This window comes from Homo sapiens, chromosome 11 (assembly GCF_000001405.40).
Source record: "Homo sapiens chromosome 11, GRCh38.p14 Primary Assembly".
NCBI classification, from domain to species: Eukaryota; Metazoa; Chordata; class Mammalia; order Primates; family Hominidae; genus Homo; species Homo sapiens.
The window spans coordinates 129820691-129841963 of record NC_000011.10 but is presented as its reverse complement, the minus strand read 5'-3'; the positions used below and the strand labels follow the sequence as shown (position 1 = coordinate 129841963).

At 43.6% G+C, this 21273-nt stretch overlaps 1 protein-coding gene across 9 annotated transcripts in view; it reads right to left on the bottom strand.

Moving 5' to 3' along the window:
- The window catches only part of TMEM45B (transmembrane protein 45B), a 44156-nt gene that overhangs the window by 18040 nt on the left and 4843 nt on the right, over window positions 1–21273 (bottom strand). For 2 of the 9 annotated variants that reach the window (XM_047426358.1, NM_001331210.2), the window contains exon 2: window positions 2262–2411. The exons of 3 other annotated variants lie outside the window; for them this stretch is intronic. The gene's annotated coding sequence lies outside the window, so the exon portion shown is untranslated. Of the gene's footprint in view, window positions 1–2261; window positions 2412–13710; window positions 13818–14849; window positions 14941–21273 lie in introns of all 9 variants that reach the window. 4 more of the 9 variants (XM_047426354.1, XM_047426355.1, XM_017017188.2 and 1 more) reach the window with 4 other exon arrangements.

The window sequence follows — 21273 nt, the reverse complement described above, 5'->3', positions numbered from 1 at the left end:
TATTTGTCGAGTCATTTAAATCATATTTTCTTTTAATTCCTTGAACAGTTTTCTTTAATTCTCTGAGGCCGGGCGCAGTGGCTCATGCCTGTAATCCCAGCACTTTGGGAGGCCGAGGCGGGTGGATCACTTGAGGTCAGGAGTTCAAGACTAGCCTGGCAAACATGGCGAAACCCCATCTCTACTAAAAATACAAAAAATTAGCCGGGCGTGGTAGTGGGTGCCTGTAATCTCAGCAACTTGGGAGGCTGAGGCAGGAGAATCACTTGAACCCAGGAGGTAGAAGTTGCAGTGAGCTGAGATCACGTCACTGCACTCCAGCCTGGGCGGGCGACAGAGTGAGACTCTTGTCTCCAAAAAAAAAAAAAAAACAAAAAAACAAAAGAAAACTTCAAGCCCATTACACTTCCAACCCCTGTCAGTCCCTCTGTGTGGGGGTTGGAGAAGGCCAGTTTTCAAGTCCCTTATCTCCCTTGCTGGGCTCTCTCAGGTCTTCTCCATATATGCATAGTTTTTTCAGTCAGCCAGGGATGCGTGAAGAGCTCACTTCAATACTTCTCTGATTCTCATTTCCAGAATCCCCCTGTTAAATTCCTGGTTGGCCTGCTGCTTGCCCCAAGTGGGGCTGCAACCTCAAGCTAGCGAAGCTGTGGATTTGTCCTGCTCATTTCCAAGTGTTCATTCCCATGTTAAGCCAGCAAAGCCAAGGATTTTCAACCCCCCAGCCACTGCTCTGAATTGAATCTGTTTGTGTGGCAGTTTTCATGGCCAGCCCCATCTTACTTAAAAGTCATTGGCTGAGCTGGGGGGTGATGGGAGCAGCCACAGGCAAAAAAAGCCACCATCTCCTACTTGCCTGAAGATCTAGTAGTTTTTCAAGAATAAATGCTGCTCAATTTTTTGCCTGCATTTTGTCAATTTCCAGTTCCCTGAAATGCTTGGTTTTGATAAACAATTTTGTCTAGTTTTATATATTTTTTGGTTGTTTGTTGCTTTTTTTTTTTTTTTTTTTTTTTTACAGAAAGAAATTGCCTGCCTCTTTGTGCTGCCATAACTGGAAGGCCTTCTCCTCGTTATTATTTTTTGAGATGGAGTTTCGCTCTTGTTGCCCAGGCTGGAGTGCAATGGTGCAATCTTGGCTCACTGCAACCTCTGCCTCCAAGCGATTCTCCTGCCTCAGTCTCCCAAGTAGCTGGGATTACAGGCGTGCACCACCACGCCCAGCTAATTTTTTTGTATTTTTAGTAGAGACAGGGTTTCACCATGTTGGTCAGGCTGATATAGAACTCCTGACCTCAAGTGATCCACCTGCCTCAGCCTCCCAAAATGCTGGGATTACAGACGTGAGCCACTGTGCCCAGCCCGCTTTCTTTTTAAACCCTCCTTTGAACATAAAAAATTTACATGTTTGTTTAATGTTTAACACAGGTCCCTTTCAATATCAAGCTTATTATACTTCATTTTCCTAGGCAAAGGTGCAGAAAAACCAGCTTTGCAAATGTAGGTCAAAACTGCACAGTGACTAACCGGCTTCCCTCCTCCCTGCACTTCCTCATTTTTCTCAGAAGCAGTACCTGAAATAAAGGCAGAGTCCTTGTCTGCCTCTATGTACTTGATACCAGCTTGTCAAGACCCACCCTTCCCTTTTACCTCGTCTAAAATTCACACCAGTGGACAGCAGGGCCTGCAGCATGTCTGTAGAAATTTATTTAAACTTATGTATGATTCATAGAAGACTGAGTACTTTGATTTGATGGGGATGGGCTATATTTCTTCCAATAACAAATTAATGGATTAGTTCATTAGATTAGCTACATTATGGAACACGTGGAGGAGATGGAGGATGAGTTAGTTTTAGTTACAGGAGGAATAAGGTAATAAATAACTTCAAGTAGAACAATAAAAATTTGGACTTCTAAATAATTTGGATAACCCATTTTCCAAATATAGGCTAAGCCCCTGCTGTGGTTTAGCATTAAAAACATTTAAATAAAATACATGTTAAATAAAAAAGTACTTAAGGAATGTGTTTCCTAATATACACAACTGGTGTGGGCAATATACAACAAAACCTTTCAATCTAAGGACAAACTTACAAATAGGAAAACAAATATCAGATAGTGCTTTTAGGTCAGGTGCAGTGGCTCACACCTGTAATCCCAGCACTTTGGAAGCCTGAGGCGGGAAGATTGCTTGAGCCCAGGTGTTCAAGATCAGCCTGGGCAACAGAGTGAGACCCGTCTCTACTAAAAATAAATTACCTGGGCATGGAAGGGCACGCCTGTAGTCCAAGCTACTCGGGAGGCTGAGATGGGAGGATTGCTTGAGCCTGTGAGGTTGAGGCTGCAGTGAGCCGTGATTGCACCGCTGACACTCCGTGTCACTCCACCGCTGGGTGACACAGTGAGACCCTGTCTCCAAAGGAAAAAAATAAGTGCTTTCACAAAGGCAAATTCCCCAACTTTCTTATTTCAATATATTTCCTTTTTTTTAAATTTCACATGAGATAGAATGGGAGTGTGAGGGGAGGATTGAATGTTTTGGACAGGTAGTAACTTTGCCTTTCACTTTCTGCTGGGCTGTCTCAGGTCTTCCCTATAGATGCATAGCTTTTCCACTCGGCCAGGGATGTGTGAAGACCTCATCTCAACACTTCCATGACTCTCATTTCCAGAATCTCCCTATTAAATCCCCAGCTGATCTGCTGCTATGGCCTAGTATTAAAAATAGCAACCAAGCTGGCCACCAAGAAGACTGGAGGTTTGGGCAACTGTTCCTTTTTATTTCATATCTAGGGAGATCATTGGATCCTTCCCTCCCTCCCTCTCTCCTTCCTTCTCTCGCTCTCTCATTTGAGATAAGTGAAATAGAAGATAAGGTAGAAGGAGTCAGAAAGAGAAAATGGAGGCAAGAGTAAGGGAGAATGAGGAGCAAGGAAACCAGAGGGAAGCAGAGTCACAGAAGAGAGAGGAAATGGTGCCAAGGAAAGGAGAAATTATGGTTGATGCCATTTGGCTGTAGTTAAAAGTAAAACTTGATATGGTGCTTTAAAAAAATAAAGCAGGAATTTTCCCTTATTTTAGAGGGGGAAAGCAGGAATGGTGAAGGAAGAGATGTCCACATGAATGGAAGAATCAGAAAAAGGGGGAAAGTGAATTTTGTTTTTCTCCTCAAGTGCCTAGGCTTGGCAACCAGCACTCTCTAACATTACGTTGCTCCCAGAGGTGGAGAGTTAAAGCAAATGTCTCCCAGTGTGTGGTGGCAGACACAAAATAATAGATCCCCAAATATCCCAGAGAGCTTGGGCCTCTACTCAGTTCCAACCACGTGTTTGACTGAATAAATTATATTTTATCTTTACTATGAGATATTATATAACCGTTAAAAAGAATGAATTGGAGGTATGCCAGCTGTCCTAGAAGGTTTTTCATGAGATGTTGGCTGAGACAAGCAAGAAGAGCGACAAGAGCGAAACTCCGTCTCACAAAAAAATTAAGATAAAATTAGCATAATTAAAATTCTTTGTATCATTAAAATTCAGGCAACTTGGGCTCTGTCATAGTACAAGGTTAAGCCATTAGGTCATTCTCGAGTCCAGTGGCTCACAACGGGGACTGGTGGTGGCGCCCTGGCTTCTCTGGGTGGAGACCGGGGACACTGCCAAACATCCTCCAAAGCACAGGATGGCCCCACAACCAAGCCTCTTGTGGCCCGGAGTATCAGCAATGTCGAGGCTGTGAGATCCTGCTCTCACCCAGGCCTGCTTCCCAGAGTCCTTTAAGTCCTAAAGGGAGAAGACAGCAGGCTGCCCTCTTTCTGTTATTTAAATCCCACTTAACTCCCTCTTAGAGCATGTTCTTCTCCCTTTAAGACTAGCCTGGGGGCTGCACGCGGTGGCTCACGCCTGTAATCCCAGCACTTTGGGAGGCTGAGGTGGGTGGATCACCTGAGATCAGGAATTTGAGACCAGGCTGGCCAACATGGTGAAATCCCATCTATACTAAAAATGCAAAAATTAGCTGGGCATGGTGGCGGGCACCTGTAGTCCCAGCTAATCGGGAGGCTGAGGCATGAGAATAGCTTGAACCCAGGAGGCAGAGGTTACAGTGAGCTGAGATTGAGCCACTGCACTGCAGCCTGGGCGATAAAGCAAGACTTAGTCTCAAAAAAAAAAAAAAAAAAAAAAGAAACTAGCCTGGGTAACATGGTGAAACTCCATTTCTACCAAAAAGAAAAGAAAAAAAAAATTAGCTGGGTGTGGTGGTGCGTGCCTGTAGTCCCAGCTACTTGGGAGGTTGAGGCTGCAGTGAGCCATGATTATGTCACTGCACTCCAGCCTGGGCAACAGAGGAGACCCTGTCTCAAAAAAAAAAAAAAAGCCCAGTGCAGTGGCTCATGCCTGTAATTCCAGCACTTTGGGAGGCCGAGGCGGGCAGATTGCCTGAGGTCAAGAGTTCAAGACCAGCCTGGCCAACATAGTGAAACCCTGTCTCTTACTAAAAATACAAAAATTAGCCGGGCATGGTCGTGGGCACCTGTAATCCCAGCTACTCAGGAGGCTGAGGCAGGAGAATCTCTTGAACCCGGGAGGCAGAGGTTGCAGTGAGCTGAGATGGCGCCACTGCACTTCAGCCTGAGAGACAGAGCAAGACTCCGTCTCAAAACAAAAAAAAGAAAAAAAAGAAACCCCTCACTCTCACCAGTCTTCTCCTTCCCCAGCCCTATCTACACGTGGTAGAGACCAGCCCGGGCTGGTCTTAAAGGGAGAAGAGCATGCTGTAAGAGGGAGTAAGTGGGATTTCAATAACAAAGAAAGAAGGCAGCCTGTTCTCTTCTCCCTTCAGGACTAAAGGGCTTTGGGAAGCAGGCCTGGGCGAGAGCAGGATCTCACAGCCTCGGCATTGCTGAGACTCTGGGCCACAGGGGTCTTGGTTGTGGGGCCGTCCTGCACATTGCGGGGTGTCCAGCAGGCAGCCACCAGTCGATTTTATATTTCTACAGGTTTGCCTTTCAATTCATAAATTGAATTATATAATATGTGGCCTTTTGTGACTGGCCCTTTCTGTTGGCACGATGTTTCCCAGGTTTCTCCATGTTGTAAGCATGAATCACCACTGAGTCCTTTTGATGGCTGAATGGTATTTCATTGTGTGGGTAGACCACATACACTGGTTGCTAGGGCTGGTAACACAGTACCACACACTGGGCAGATTAAACAACCATTTATATTCTCAGTTCTGGAGGCCTCTCTCCTTGGCTTGGAGATGGCCATCTTCTCTCAGTGTCCTCACATGGTCGTCCTCTTGTGTGTGTCTGTGTTCTTATAAGGACATTACTCATACTGCATTTGGGCCCCACCCTAATGATCTCATTTTAATTTAATTACTTCTTTAAAGATCTTATCTCAAAAGAGTCACATCCTGAGGTACTGGGAGATAAGACTTCAACATTTGAATTTGGAGAGAGCACACTCAGCCCATAACACCCTGTCCTCTGCTCCCTGAAAATCCATATCCTTCTCATATGCAAAATACACTTATCCCCATCCCTACAGTGCCAAAAGTCTTAACCCAGATCAGCATCAACTGTTAAGTCCCAAATCTCATGTAAGTATCGTCTAAACCAGGTATGGGTGAGATTTGAGGTATGGTTCATCCTGAGGCAAAATTCTCCAGCTGTGAACCTTTACGACCAGACAAGAAATTATCTGCTTCCCAAACAGGACAGGCAGAGCATAGACATTTCTAGTTTAAAAGTGGGACATTGGAAAGAAGAAAGTGGTCATGGATCTCCTGTCCTGGAACCTGGTAGGGCAAATTCCGTTCAATTTTTTTTTTTTTAATTTGAAATGGAGTTTCACCCTTGTCGCCCAGGCTGGAGTGCAATGGCGCGGTTTTGGCTCACTCCACCCTCTGCCTCCTGGCTTCAAGTGATTCTCCTGCCTCAGTCTCCCAAGTAGCTAGGATTACAGGCATGAGCCACCATGCAAGGCTATTTTTTGTATTTTTAGTAGAGACGGGATTTCACCATGTTGCCCAGGCTGGTCTCCAACTCCTGATCTCAGGTCATCCACCTGCCTCAGCTTCCCAAAGTGTTGGGATTACAGGCGTGAGCCACTGCGCCCAGCCCAATGCCAAGGCTTGAGAATAATCCTCTTTGGCTCAGTGTTCTGTTGTCTGGGTCCACAGGGTGGCCCTGCCTTCCAGGGCCATCACCCTGATTCCTCTACCCTAAATGCTGGCCCCACCCCTTGGTCCTGGGCTGGGGCATCCTGGCCTGCTGAAACCAAGGAAGTGGCACCAGACCTGCCCCTGAATCTGTGTGCCTGGGCCCAAGGTGGCAGTAGCAGCCTGGCAGATCTCTGAACTGGCTTCAGAGTCATTCTTCCCTTTCCTTTAAGGATAACTCATGATCACAGCCATATCGCTGTACTGGCTGGTCCTGCAGAATTCCAGAAATCTGACAATCTTCCTTCATTTCTTCCTATTTCTGTCTCCTTTGGTCCAAACTGGCAATGTCTGCTGGTATAAATTCTCAAAAACCTTGGCCTCCTATGCAATCCACAGGGGGTGAGGCCATTTGACAAGAGGGCCCTCCACAGATGTTCCTGGGAAAACCACATCTCTGTTCCCGACTTGCTGAGTTGGTTGACTGTATCCATGCATCACATTGGCCATCTTTTCAGACAGGGGTTCAGCCACACCCTTGGTCTTTTCTCCAGAATGTGCTTTCACACTTTTTGTAGAATGGATAGATGGAGAATTTTCCAAATCTTCAAGTTTTGGTTCCTTTTTTTCTAAAAATTCCTTTTTTAGCTTGTCTCTCTCCTCTCATATTTTACTATGAGCAGCAAGAAGAAATCAGGCCACCTTCAGTACTTTGCTTAGAAATCTCCTCAGCTAAATATCCAAGTTCATCATTTATAAGTTCTGCTTTCCATGAAACATGAGAATCCAATTCAACAAATTTCTTTGCCACTTTATAACAAGGTCTATCTTTCTTCTAGTTTCTAATATCATGTTCCTCATTTCTGTCCAAGATCTCACCAGAAGTACGTTTAACATTCATATTTCAGCCAACATGCTGTTCCTGATGATACATGTATTCTCTAAGATGACAGATGTTTCTCTCTCTTTTTTTTTTTTTTTTTGTGGAGATGGAGTCTCTCTCTGTCACCCAGGCTGGAGTGCAGTGGCATGATCTTGGCTCACTGCAACCTCTGCCTCCCAGGCTCAAGCAATTATCCTGCCTCAGCTCCCCGAGTAGCCGGGACTACAGGTGCATGCCACCACACCTGGCTAATTTTTGTATTTTTAGTAGAGATGGGGTTTCACCATGTTGGCCAGGCTGGTCTCAAACTCCTGACCTCAGGTGATCCACATGTCTTGGCCTCCCAAACTGCTGGGACTACCGGCGTGAGCCATGGTGCCCAGCTGATAGATGCTTTCTCTACAGCTCTGTTTTTTCTTTCTCAGTCCTCACTGGAATCACCTTCAATGTCCACATTTCTGTTGCTGTTTTTTTTTTTCCTTTGAGACTGAGTCTCGCTCTATTGCCGAGGCTGGAGTGCAGTGGCGTGATCTCAGCTCACTGCAATTTCTGCCTTTCAGGTTCAGGCAATTCTTCTGCCTCAGCCTCCTGAGTATCTGGGATTACAGGCGCACGCCACCACGCCTGGATAATTTTTGTATTTTTAGTAGAGATGGGGTTTCACCATGTTGGCCAGGCTGGTCTCGAACTCCTGACCTCAAGTGATCCGCCTGCCTCAGCCTCCCAAAGTGCTGGGATTACAGGCGTGAGCCACCGCGCCCGGCTAATGTCCACATTTCTATCAACAGTCTCTTTAAGGCAATTTAGGCCTTTTCCAACATGCACCTCCAAACTCTTCCAGCCCTTACTCACTGTTTAGTTCCAAAGCCACGTCTGCTCAACAGCACGCTATTTCTTGGTACCCAAATCTGTACTGGTTGCCAGGGCTGCTGTAACAAAGTCCCACAGACTAGGGGACTTAAACCACAGCCATTTATCTTCTAACAGTTCTGGAAGCTAGAAGTCTGAGACCAATGCATTGGCAGAATGGGTTTCTTCTGAGGTGTCTCTCCTGGGCTTGCAGATGACCGCCTTTGCCCTATTTCTTCAAATGGTCTTCTTTCGGTGTGTGTCTGTGTCTAAAGTTCCTTTTTTATTTCAGACACAGGTTTGCTCTTGTTGCCCAGGCTGGAGTGCAGTGGCACAATCTCGGCTCACTGCAACCTCCGCCTTCTGGGTTCAAGTGATTCTCCTGCCTCAGCCTCCTGAGTAGCTGGGATTACAGGTGTCCGCCACCATGCCTGGCTAATTTTTGTATTTTTAGTAGAGACGAGGTTTCACCATGTTGGCCAGGCTGGTCTGGAACTCCTGAGCTCAGGTGATCCACCCGCCTCAGCCTCCCAAAGTGCTGGGATTACGGGTGTGAGTCACTGCGCCTGGCCCTAAAGTTCCTCTTATAAGGATACCAGTCATATTGGATTACTGTCCTAATGACCTCATTTTAACTTGATTACTTCTTTAAAGATCCTGTCTCCAAACACAGGCATATTCTGAGGCACTGGAGGTGAGGACTTCAACATATACACTTGGAGGTGGGGGGACAAAATTCTGCCCATAACGCCATATGTTATTTATCCATTCATCAATTCACACTTACATTTCCTTTTTTTTTTTTTATTTTTCTGTTTATTTTTTGAGACAGAGTCTCCCTCTGTCGCCCAGGCTGGGGTGCAGTGGCACAACCTCAACTCACTGCAGCCTCCACCTCTCGGGTTCAAGCAACTCTCCAGCCTCAGCCTCCCAAGTAGCTGGGACTACAGGTGCGCCACCACAACCGGGTAATTTTTGCATTTTTAGTAGAGATGGGGTTTCACCATGTTGGCCAGGCTGGTCTCGAACTCCTGACCTCAGGTGATCCGCCTGCCTCGGCCTCCCAAAGTGCTGGGATTACAGGTGTGAGCCACCAGGCCCGGCCAATTAACACTTACATTTCCTTTCATAGATTTAATTACTAAATCAATACGAAAAATAACTCTCAGGTGTATAACAAGCTACAAAGATTTCAACCTTACTAAGTTTTTTTACTTTTTATTTCTGTGACAGTTTTTCCTGATGGCTCTGAAAGTCACCCTAAGATGGTTCTCTGTACTTTCTTGCCATTACTCTTCTACTTAAAAAGAAACCCACTCCTAATGACATATAATTTACGTACCGTAAAATTTACCCTTTTAAGGTGTTTAATTTGGTATTTTTTGGTTTACTAACAGCTGTGCAACCATTATTGCTATCTAATTTTATAAAAAAATTACAACTATTCAATTTTAAAATGCTTTTACCAACCCCCCACGAAATCCCATACAAATTGATGGTCATTCCCGTTTCCCGCCAGCCCCCCAACCCCTGGCAATCACCAATATGCTTTCCGTCTCTGTGGATTTGCCTAATTTAGACAGTTTATGTAAATTAAATCATACAAGAGGCAGCCTCTTTCCCTCAGCATAATGTTTTCAAGATTCATCCATGGTATAGCATGTATCAGCACTTCATTCCTTTATTTATTTATTTGAGACACAGTCTCAGTCTGTCGCCCAGGCTGGAGTGCAGTGGTGCGATCTCGGCTCACTGCAAGCTCCGCCTCCTGGGTTCACACCATTCTCCTGCCTCAGCCTCCCGAGTAGCTGGGACTCCAGGAGCCTGCCACCATGCCCGGCTAATTTTCTGTATTTTTAGTAGAAACGGGGTTTCACCGTGTTAGCTAGGATGGTCTTGATATCCTGACCTCATGATCCACCTGCCTCAGCATCCCAAAGTGCTGGGATTACAGGCGTGAGCCACTGTGTCCGGATCCTTTTTTTTTTTTTTTTTTTTTGAGATGGAATCTCGCTCTGTCGCCCAGGCTGGAGTGCAATGGCGTGGTCTCGGCTCACTGCAACCTCTACCTCCCAGGTTCAAGCGATTCTCCTGCCTCAGCCTCCTGAGTAGCTGGGATTACAGGCATCCGCCAGTATGCCTGGCTAATTTTTACATTTATAATAGAGATGGGGTTTCACCATATTGGCCAGGCTGATCTTGAACTGGTGACCTTGTGATCTGCCTGCCTCGGCCTCCCAAAGTGCTGGGATTACAGGCATGGGCCACCATGCCTGGCCACTTCATTCCTTTTTATGGCCAAATAATATTCCATTGTATGGATGTGTCACATTTTGTTTATTCACTTGTTAGTAGATGGACGTTTGAATTGTTATGAATAATGATGCTGTGAAGAATTGCATGTTTTTGTGTGTACAGATGTTTTTATTTCTCTTGGATATGCAGTAGTCTCCCCTTATCCATGGATTTGCTTTCTGCAGTTTCAGTTACCTGCAGTCAACTGTGGTCCAAAACCATTACATCGAAACTTCAAGAAACAAATAATTTAGAAATTTTAAATGGCACACCATTCTGAGTAGCATAAGGAAATTTCATGCCATCCCACCCTGGATATGAATCATCGCTTTCTCCAGCATAACCATTAGTCACTTAGTAAGCTGTCTGGATTATCAGGTTGACTGTCATGGTATCATAGTGCTTGTGTTCATGTAACCCTTATTTTACCTAATGGCTCCAAAATGAAAAAGTAGTGATGCTGGCAGTTCGATTATGCCAAAGAGAAGTTGTCAAGTGTTTTGTTTAAGTGGAAGCATGAAAGTTCTTAATAACGAAAGAAAAAATTAGTACGCTGAGATTGCCAAGATCTACAGTAAAAATGAATCTTCATCCATGAAATTGTGAGCAGTATATTGTTGTAATTGTTCTAGTACACATATAGTTCTAATACAGTCCTATTATTGTTAATCTCTTACTATACCTAATTTATATAAGCTTTATCATAGGTATATACATCTAGGAAAAAATATAGTGTATATAAGGTTTGGAACTAACTATCCATGGTTTTAGCATCCACTGGGGGTCTTGGAACATATCCCCTGCAGATAAAGGGTGATGACTGTATACCTAGGAGTGGAATACTTGGTCAGATGGTAACTCTATGTTTAACATTTTGAGAAACTGTCAGACTTTTCAAAAGTGGCTAGACCCTTTCACAATCCCACCAGCAATGTATTAGAGTTCCAATTTCTTCACATCTTTGCCAACACTTGTTATGTCTTTTTTCATTTAGCCATTCTAGTGGGTATGAAGTGGTATTTTGTTGTTTTGTTTCCGTAATGATTAGTGATGTTGAGCATCTTTTCATGTGCTTATTGGGCACATGGAGAAATGCCTACTCAAATACATTGCCCATTTTAATTGGATTACTTGTCTATTATTGAGTTGTAATAGTTCTTTATTCTAGATATAGGTTTCTTATCAGATATATTATTTGCAAATATTTTCTCCCATTCTGTGAGTTGTCTTTTCTTGATGCTGTCCTTGAAGTACAGAAGCTTGTAATTTTGATGAAGTCCAATTTATCTGTTTTTTTTCTTTTGTTTGTGCTTTTGATGTTATATCCAAGAAACCACTGCTTAACCAAAGGTCAGAAAACTCACTTCTATGTTTTCTTCTAAGAATTGTATAGTTTTAGCTCTTATATTTATGTGTCTGATCTATCTATCTATTTATTTTTTGAGACTGAATTTTGCTCTTGTCTCCCAGGCTGGAGTGCAATGGCATGATCTTGGCTCACTGCAACCTTCACCTCCCAGGTTCAAGCAATTCTCCCACCTCAGCCTCCTGAGTAGCTGGGATTACAGGCATGCGCCACCACACCTGGCTAATTTTGTATTTTTAATAGAGACAAGGTTTCACCATGTTGGCCAGGCTGGTCTAGAACTGCTAACTTCAGGTGATTCAGCCTTGGCTTCCCAAAGTGCTGGGATTACAGGTGTGAACCACTGCACCTGACCTCTGATCTATTTTGACTTAACTTTTGTATATGGTGTGAGGTAGGGATCCAACTTTATTCTTTCACATGTGAATATCCAAGTGTCCCAGCCATTTGTTAATAAGACTATTCTTTTTCCCTATTGAATTGTCTTGGCATCTTGTCTATCTTTCTACTCTTAAAAGTAGATTTCATCAACTCTTTACAGAAGGACCTTGCCTATAACCAGCTTAAACTGTGAATCAGAAGGCTGATTAATTAAACTATTATGATTCATATAAAAATACTTTACTAGAGTATACAGAGAACACTAATAACAATGAAAACAAAGGGAGGATTCCTATTCAGCCTGGAGGAAACAGGAGAAAGATTATAGAGGGTAGTGTCATGAAAGCTTCCTGGAAAAACACACAGGCATTAGTCAGGTAGTGTGGGCAGAGTTCTAGTCAGAGCAAATAACACATGCAAAGGCTGAGAGGCACTTGCAGCCAATCATCCATATGGTGGGAGTGAACTAGATAATGTCACTTACTCTCTTTACCCTATATCATTCCCACCTTCTTTACAAGCAAAACCACATGTAATTCTCTTGCATGGATAGAATGCATTAAATCTTAAAATTTTGTCAGATTGGGACTGACCAAAAGAATATACTTAAAAGTAAAATCAAACAGACATTATGTTCCTATGTGCCCAAGAGTTTCAGGGAAAGGATAGAAACCAACTCACACATGGGCCTGAGGAAGGCTGAGTTAGAAAAGACTTAAGTCAACTGTTATCTTAGTTTTAGTACATTCTATTTCCTACATCTTCCTAAAGGAAACTGAATTCCTAAATTTTCCTTTAAGGAGGAATATAGTCACATAATAGAATATGAACTATGTAGTGTCAGACCTAAGTTCAGTCCTGGTTTTGCCACTTTTACTGGTAAGACCTTGGACAAGTTCTCTAATGTCTGTGAATCTCAGTACTCCTCCTTCTAAAACAGGGACATTAATACCACCTTGGAGGGATCCTGTGAGGCTTACCTGAAAATGTCTAGCAGGTGACTAGAATACATGTTTAATAAGTGTTAACTTCCTCTCTAGTCTGGTGCTGGTACACTATTCGTGCAATAATAGGGGAGAGACTTAGGCTTCTCTCCTAGAAGAACATATTTTGACCTAAAGTTGCTGTTCTTTGCTTTTGAGTAGCTGACCCTAAATGGGCAGAATTACTGTTTAACATCACATAATCCTAGAGAGGGCAGTGGCTGAGCATAACTTGTTAATGGGAATGAGACGTGTGTTTGGTCAGTAAGGAAGTAGGTTATAGGGTGATCATAGAATATTTATTTTCATCGTTTTTCTACATTCTGAATTTGTCCTTGCCGGCAGGAACTCTCAGGTGGCTTCTGGTCTGGGTTTGCTTTGGAATACAGCCAAACCTACCTGACTCAGCTTTTTGTAACTCTGCAAATAACAAGGTTAATACCTCTTCACGTTCTATGAGCTGCTTAGTAACAGAATGCAGGGGAAGCAGAGAGTTCTGTGTTGAAAGTCCTCCATTGCTTACAGGTGGTGTGACTGTGGCCGCAGTCCTGAACTTCAACTAAGTCACGTCCCTGCTCTACAGTGGGCTCAGGGGCCTGAGGAGGTCCAGAGTCTATCCCCGTCTTTAGAATTTGACAGCTACTGCCATCATTGTTATTTCCTGTGTGGGAGGTTCTTGGGAACAGCACGGTCAGAAGGAGTAAGACCAGAAAGAGTCTGAAGCTTGTTCTGGCACGATTTCACCATGATATGGAATACAATTACTATGAAAAAGAATTCTGTTACCTCCCAGCTCGTTTTGGTTCCTGAGCAGAAGATAGTCTCAGCCCTGCTGTCTCTCTCTTTCTAAAATTTTCCATATGAGCCAATTAAATACAGGATTCTTCTGGGTGCTAAGGAAATAATACAATGGATAATGATGAAATGAATAGTTTTATCTGCAAGGAGTTTATAATCTAGTAGACAGCTGTATACAGTCAGGTGCCGCATAATGACATTTTGGTTAATGACAGACGGCATGTATGATGGTGGCCCCATAAGATTATAATACTTTTTTGTTTCTTTTTTTTGAGACAAGGTCTCACTCTATTGCCCAGGCTGGAGGGCGGTGGCACGATCTCAACTCACTGCAACCTCCGCCCCCAGGGTTCAAGTGATCCTCCTGCCTCAGCTTCCTGAGTAGCTGGGACCACAGGTGTGCACCACCACGCTCGGCTAATTATTTTATTTTATTTCTGAGGCAGAGTTTCGCTCTTGTTGCCCAGGCTAGAGTGCAATGGTGCAGTCTCAGCTCATGGCAACCTCCGCCTCCCAGTTCAAGCTATTCTCCTGTCTCAGCCTCTCGAGTAGCTGGGATTACAGGCACGCACCACCACGCCTGGCTAATTTTGTATTTTTAGTAGAGGCGGGGTTTCTCCATGTTGGTCAGGCTGGTCTCAAACTCCCGACCTCACGTGATCTGCCTGCCTCCGCCTCCCAAAGTGCTGGGATTATAGGTGTGAGCCACTGCGCCTGGCCATAATACCATATGTTTAATGCATGTTTTCCGTGTTTAGATACACACATACTTACCACTGTGCTATAACTGCTTACAGTGTGTGGTACGGTAATGTGCTGTACAGGTTTGAAGTCAGTTCTTGGAAAAAGTGCTCACACCTACAGACTCCCTTCAGCATCTGCTAACAGTGCGTATACTCAGCACTGACAGTATACACCGCATAGCCTAGATGTGTAGTAGGCTATGCCATCTGGGTTTGTGTAAGTACACTCTAGGATGTCCACACAACAAAATCGCCTAACGACACATTTCTCAGAACATGTCCCTGTCGTTAAGCACCACATGACAATACTTGTGAAAGACTGATTGTCCTGGGACGTACTGGTAGCAGTCCTAGCACATAGCACACAAAGTGGGTAACTCTCACCTGAGAAACTGGGCAGGCCTCACAGAGCGGGAGGCATTTGATTTGGGCCTTTCTTCAAACTGTCATGAAAATTAGGCAGTTTTGCTGGATCCTGAATTCGAGAATGAAAAATAAATTGGAGGCCGGGCACGGTGGCTCACGCCTGTAATCCCAACACTTTGGGAGGTCGAGGCGAGCAGATCACGAGGTCAGGAAATCGAGACCACGGTGAAACCCCATCTCTACTAAAAATACAAAAAATTAGCCGGGCATGGTGGTGGGTGCCTGTAGTCCCAGCTACTCGGGAGGCTGAGGCAGGAGAATGGCGTGAACCCAGGAGGTGGAGCTTGCAGTGAGCCGAGATCGCGCCACTGCATTCCAGCCTGGGTGACAGATCGAGACTCCGTCTCAAAAAAAAAAAAAAGAAAAACAAATTGGACTAAATTCTATTTTCTCACTATCTAACAAGAACACTGGCCACTGAGTCAGAATACTTGGGTCCTAGCCTGAATGCTGCTAGGAATTCACTCTGTGACCTTGAGCAAGACACATAGCCTCTCAGGGTCCTTTTTTTTTTTTTTTTTTTTGTGACAGAGTCTTGCTGTGTCCCCCAGGCTGGAGTGCAGTGGCGCCATCTCGGCTCACTGCAAGCTCTGCCTCCCGGGTTCACACCATTCTCCTGCCTCAGCCTCCCGATTAGCTGGGACTACAGGCACCCGCCACCACGCCCAGCTAATTTTTTGTATTTTTAGTAGGCACACGGTTTCACTGTGTTAGCCAGGATGGTCTCGATCTCCTGACCTCGTGATCCGCCCGCCTCGGCCTCCCAAAGTGCTGGGATTACAGGCGTGAGCCACCGCGCCCGGCCTCTTTATTTGTTAAATAGGGAGTTTGGAAGAGGGACTCTCCATGGCTCTTCTGAATTCTGAAATTCCTTTATGTCTTTGCTCCTCATTAATACATCACAAAAACGAAATGCAGAAGTTGGAGCAAGTTTTGGTCATGGAGAAGGGAGGATGAAACTAAGGCTATGGCTATTACCTACAAAGAAGCAGTTACCAGTTGCCACCTCAGCATACATTAGAGTGAAAGGACATCTCTGGACTTCAAAGGTGGGTTTAGTTTTCAAACAACCAAAAAAAAAAACCAAAAAAAACCTTACATATATTTCTGTAATTAACACTATCCTTAACTCAGCCATGGGAAAGAATACATTTAGTTCAGAATTCTCTTTCTGGGCGCTCAAGGAAAATAATAATGGAAAGATCTCTCCAAAGTCATGGAGTCAAATTTCCAAGATGCCAGGCCACTAAGGAACATTTCTTCAAGGCTTGGGCTCTCTGCCTTCTCCACCTCTTGGAAAAAGTGCTCAAGCTTACAGACAGACTCCTTCCTTCCTTCCCTCAGCATCCACTACCAGTGGGCTTGTTCAGCACTGACATTAGTGAGCAGGCAGAGGCTGGGCCTTCCACTTTACTCAACAGTCCTCCTTGCATAAGCCCTTACTTCCGTTTCCTCTTCCCCTTGCAAGAACTCTCACGCACACCCATGGATTAATCACCACTTGCACAATGGTGACTCCCACAACTTCATCTCCAGCTCTGGCCTTGTCTCTAAGTCTCAGACTCATAGATCCAACAACCTGCTGAACAGACAGACATGCACATAAACGTATAGATGTTTCTTAGACACCTCAAGTCAGTATTTCCAAGACTGAACTCACCATCTTCTTTCCCCACCAAATCGGCTTCTCTTCTCATATCCCAAACTTAGTTAATGGCTTAATGTCCAGTCACCCAGAAAGCCAGAATCTTGGGAGTCATTCTGGACTCTCTTCTCCCCTCACCATTGCCCCCAAAGACATCAAAATTCTGCTAAATTCGCTTCCCCAAGTATCCTGGTATTTTCTCTTTCCCTTCTGTGCCTGCAGCAATGATCTCATTTGGTCTCTCATTGTCTTTTTCCTAAACACTGCGAGGCCTCTAGTCCTGCTGTCCATGAATTCTTCTTCCACCCCGCAGCCAGTCATCCACCTTCCGTGTACATCTGACTACACTACTGGAGGATGGAAAATGTTCCATTGGCTAACCAGCAGCCTGTGGAGGGGTCCACGTCCCCTTGCATTGGGTATACCTGAATGTGGCTCCTCTCCAGTGTCACCTCCCAATTCTCCCCACCATGAACCTGACAGTGTCCCCTTTGCTCATGTTGTCCCCTCTAAATTGCACGTCCTTTTCATTCCTCTTACTTGGTTTCCATATTTAGGCCTTATTTCCTCCAGGAAGCCTCTGTGAATCTCCAGGCTGGGCTAAGCGCCTCACCTCTGTGTTTTCAAAGGACCTCATACATACCATGATTTTTTATCACTTACCATGTTATATTAAAATTATATAGTGACATATGTCTTGCCCATTAGTCTACAGAATCTTCAAGAGTGGAGACCTTATCATCTCCATCAAAAACTAGCACAAGCTTGATACATAATAATAGTTCTTAAACTGAACTGAACTGATGCAGCTTAGCCTTCATCTTGAATCAAGAGAACACCATCTCCTAAATCTAGCCATTGGTAAAATTGTTGGTACCGTTACTATTTTCATACAATTCTTAGAGCTAGGTAAGTCCCTTGATTTCTACTACTGTGTCTCACAGACTGGCATATGTGTGAATCCTTTCCCCCCAGATGATATCTGAAATCACAAGACGAACATAATCCTGGAGTATCAATTTCACCTAAAGATTCTGGAAAAATGATTTTCATTTTAAAACAGATACAGACATATTGTGGGGTAGCATATATTTTTTAGTATTAAGAGAGACTGCACTTATGCCAGGCTGTTCTCAGACAAGTCTCCAGGTCCCTGGGAGTTTAGACTCTATTGTTAGTGCTGACGATTGAGAAACAGTAATCTATAGATCACTGTTTTGCACTGTAGTTTAGTTACTGTTCTAGAGCCTCCCATAGAGAAATAAACAGCCCCAGTGAGACCGAAGCAGGAGCTATCTCAGTAATGGCCAGAAGAGAGGGACTTTCATTGTGGGTCTGAGTTAGGTTTGAAAAGATGTCTGTGTGATTGACAGGTAGGTATTCTGAAATGAGCACAACAATGAGCTTTGTATAATGTATAAAATATGCCAGATTGTAGATCAATGTAGGGGAGGAGGCAGAAAAATGACCATTAGAACAGATCAAAGAGAAGCTCTGGATCAAAGTGCAGGCCGATCAAAGACACTGGAAGGAAGGGAAGGGCACTACAGTCAAGGGATGGAACATGAGGAAAAAAATAATCCAAACTGAACTGTGGCTCAGGAGGGACTCGATGCAGGGTGGTTGGTGATAACCTAAGAAATAATTAGATATTTAGTAGGGTGATATGGGGAGTTTTCAATCCAGGAAATTCTACTTAGAGTCCTAGTAGTTAGAGATCTTTCAAGTTTGTTTTCTTATAGCTATTCCATACCATCAGATTTGAGAATGAGGTAGCATCATCCAAGAGGTGGTGACATAAAAAGATTTAACAGAAACAGAGGAAATAGCAAGGGGACAGGTAGGAAGGGCTAGTTTAAAACAGATAATAGGGTCAATTTAAGTCAACTAACATTTATCAAGTACCTGTTATGCATAAGGCACTGTTCTGGGAGATGGAGTTGCAGGGGTGACAAGCCTGGGCCTGTGCTGTCAGGGAGTTTGCAGTCTTTGTTGAAGTCGCCTAAGAAGGAAAAGCTAACAGCAAAAAATCAGGGTCTAATGGGCAGGCTTTCCAAGTGAGAGGCCTTAAGAAGCTAAAGCAGGAACGATTCCTATCAAACGTAGTATCTGTTCCCTTCACGTGATCTAAAACTTTCCCAGGAAAAAAATAAAAAACATGAATCTGCTCCAAGTTTTGATGATCACTGTGGGGCTGCAGAAGGGAAAAATTGCATGGATTTGGAGGGTGACCTTCAAGGACAGAAATTCTGTCCCAAATTCTAGAGATATTAGAAAAATATTTTCCCAGGCTGGGTGTGGTGGCTCATGCCTGTAATCCCAGCACTTTGGGAGGCCGAGGTGGGTGGATCACAAGGTCAGGGGTTCGAGACCAGCCTGACCAACATGGTGAAACCCTGTCTCTACTAAAAATACAAAAATTAGCTGGGCATGGTGGTGGGCGCCTGTAATCCCAGCTACTCAGGAGGCTGAGGTAGGAGAATGGCTTGAACTCGGGAGGCGGAGCTTGCAGTGAGCTGAGATCGCGCCACTGCACTCCAGCCTGGGCCACAGAGTGAGACTCTGTCTCAAAAAAAAAAAAAAAAAGAAAAATGTTTTCCCAATATAATCCATATTTTGCAAATGGTTATCAAAAAGTAAATTAGTTGTACATGTAGTCAAAGAGTTTTCATTCCCTAGTATCTCAGAGCTTTTTCAATAGAAAATAAAACATGGAGAACATCAGCAACTTCAAAGTGCAGGCGGAGTCAAGGACACATTTCCCATTTTGAATCCTAGACCTCCACCTGTCCACCTTACAACAAGAACCTCCGCTATTAAGCAGATGACATAATAAATACATCTAAGTTATTATGTGACTTTTCTCAAACAGGAATAAATGGCTAGAAATGAGATCTTTCTACAGAGAAACCCATTATATGTACTAGAAAGCACTAGAGACAGATGATGATAAGCCATCAAAAAGGCCTTCTCTGCTTAACCACCCTGCAATGAAGCCAGCCAACCTACAAGCCATGCTCACAGATGACGCACACCATCCCCAAACATGTATAAAGCTTCCAACGTGAAAGGCAGGCCAAAAGCAACATTAAACGTCACTTTAAAAATAGACACAGACATTGTAGGTAGCTGAAGAAAACTTCTAAAATGTAGAAAAAGTACTGAGTTAATATGCTTGGAGAAAGAAGAGAAGATGCTGCGTTCATGAAATGAGAACAGGATACTGTAAAAACCATTCAGAAGACCACACCTCTCGCCAATAAAAGCTCCTGAGAATTAAAAATATAATGGTAGAATGTAAACATTTAATAGCATTGTTGGAAGATTTATTAGAACTAAAAAAACATGGGATATTTTTTAAAATAAAAAAGATAAAATTACAAGACAGATCCAAGAGATCCCATTTTCAGATTCAGTCTAAGTAATTTAAGTTTCAGAAAGAAAGAACGAGGAAATTATATAACAGAAGAAAACCACTCAGAACTGAAGAATGTACTTTTTGGATTGAAAAGGCCTAGAAAATACTTAGGACAGTGACGGATACCTCCCTGTATTCCCCCCACCCCGCCAAAAAACCCACCCCAACATTAAATAACAACATCATGAAATATCAGAATATGAACAATAAAGAAAACCCTACAAATGCCCAGAGATTAGAACAAAATACAAGGGATCAGGAATTAGAATGGCATCAGCCTCTCAACAGCACCGTAAGAAAGTAGAATAAAATAGAGCAATGTTTTCAAAATTCGTACGGGAAATGATTTCTGATTAATATCCCATACCCAGCCAAACCAGCAAGCAAGTGTGAAGGAAGAAAAGTGACATCTCAAATGGGCACAAGCTCAAAAAGCAACCGCATCTTATGGGGCCTGAATCTTATACACTTTTGGGAGCCTTCTTTAAGAAAAAGGCGTAAAATTACAAAAACTGTACATAATTGGGTATGAAAGTACATATGTATTCCACAAGAGATGGCCTAGACAGAAAAAAAAAGTGTGTGTGTATTTAGAATGAGAAAATAAATCACAACAGACAGGGACCGTGGAGGTTCTAGACTCTGTCTTTTCAGATGTGCTTGGAAAATTTACCCCAAATGCTTCTTGATGGCGGCCTGGCGTTTCCTCCCCACTCAACAGCTCCATGCAATTAGCAGCACTCAGAGGGCCCCCATGAGTTTCCTTGGCTCCAGGAAATGACTTCTTGGTGATGAGTTCTCAAACAACTAAAGAAAATGTAGCAACTCCTACACCCCATTCCAGGGGGTTGGGGGAAAGACTGGTCAAGAAGGGAAATGTAAAGATCATGGTGTATCATGTGCCTTAGTTGGGAATAATATATACACCAAACATTGACATATCAAAAATTTAGGATATAACCGTACTGGGAACTTAAAAGAAAGGGATGTGAAGGTGAGAGGGAGGGTGGGGGTGTAAAGGAGCGAAACCCTCATCCTTCTTGGTAGGATGTCAATAGATGTCATCCAGAACTGGAAAAGAGAAGAAGAAATGGCCCGTATCTGCATGCTATTTAGAATATGGTAATATCAGAAAAACACAACCCAAAGCATTGAAAGTAATTGCCGCTAGGGTTCTATACTCAGTATAAACTCAATGAAAACCTTCTACAATGAACGACTTCTAAGACTATACATTGATTTATGTTGACCAAAGCAGATAATTAAAAAATAAAGTATACCCTCAAGAGGAGTGAGGCAAAAAGCTAACAGAAATAAAA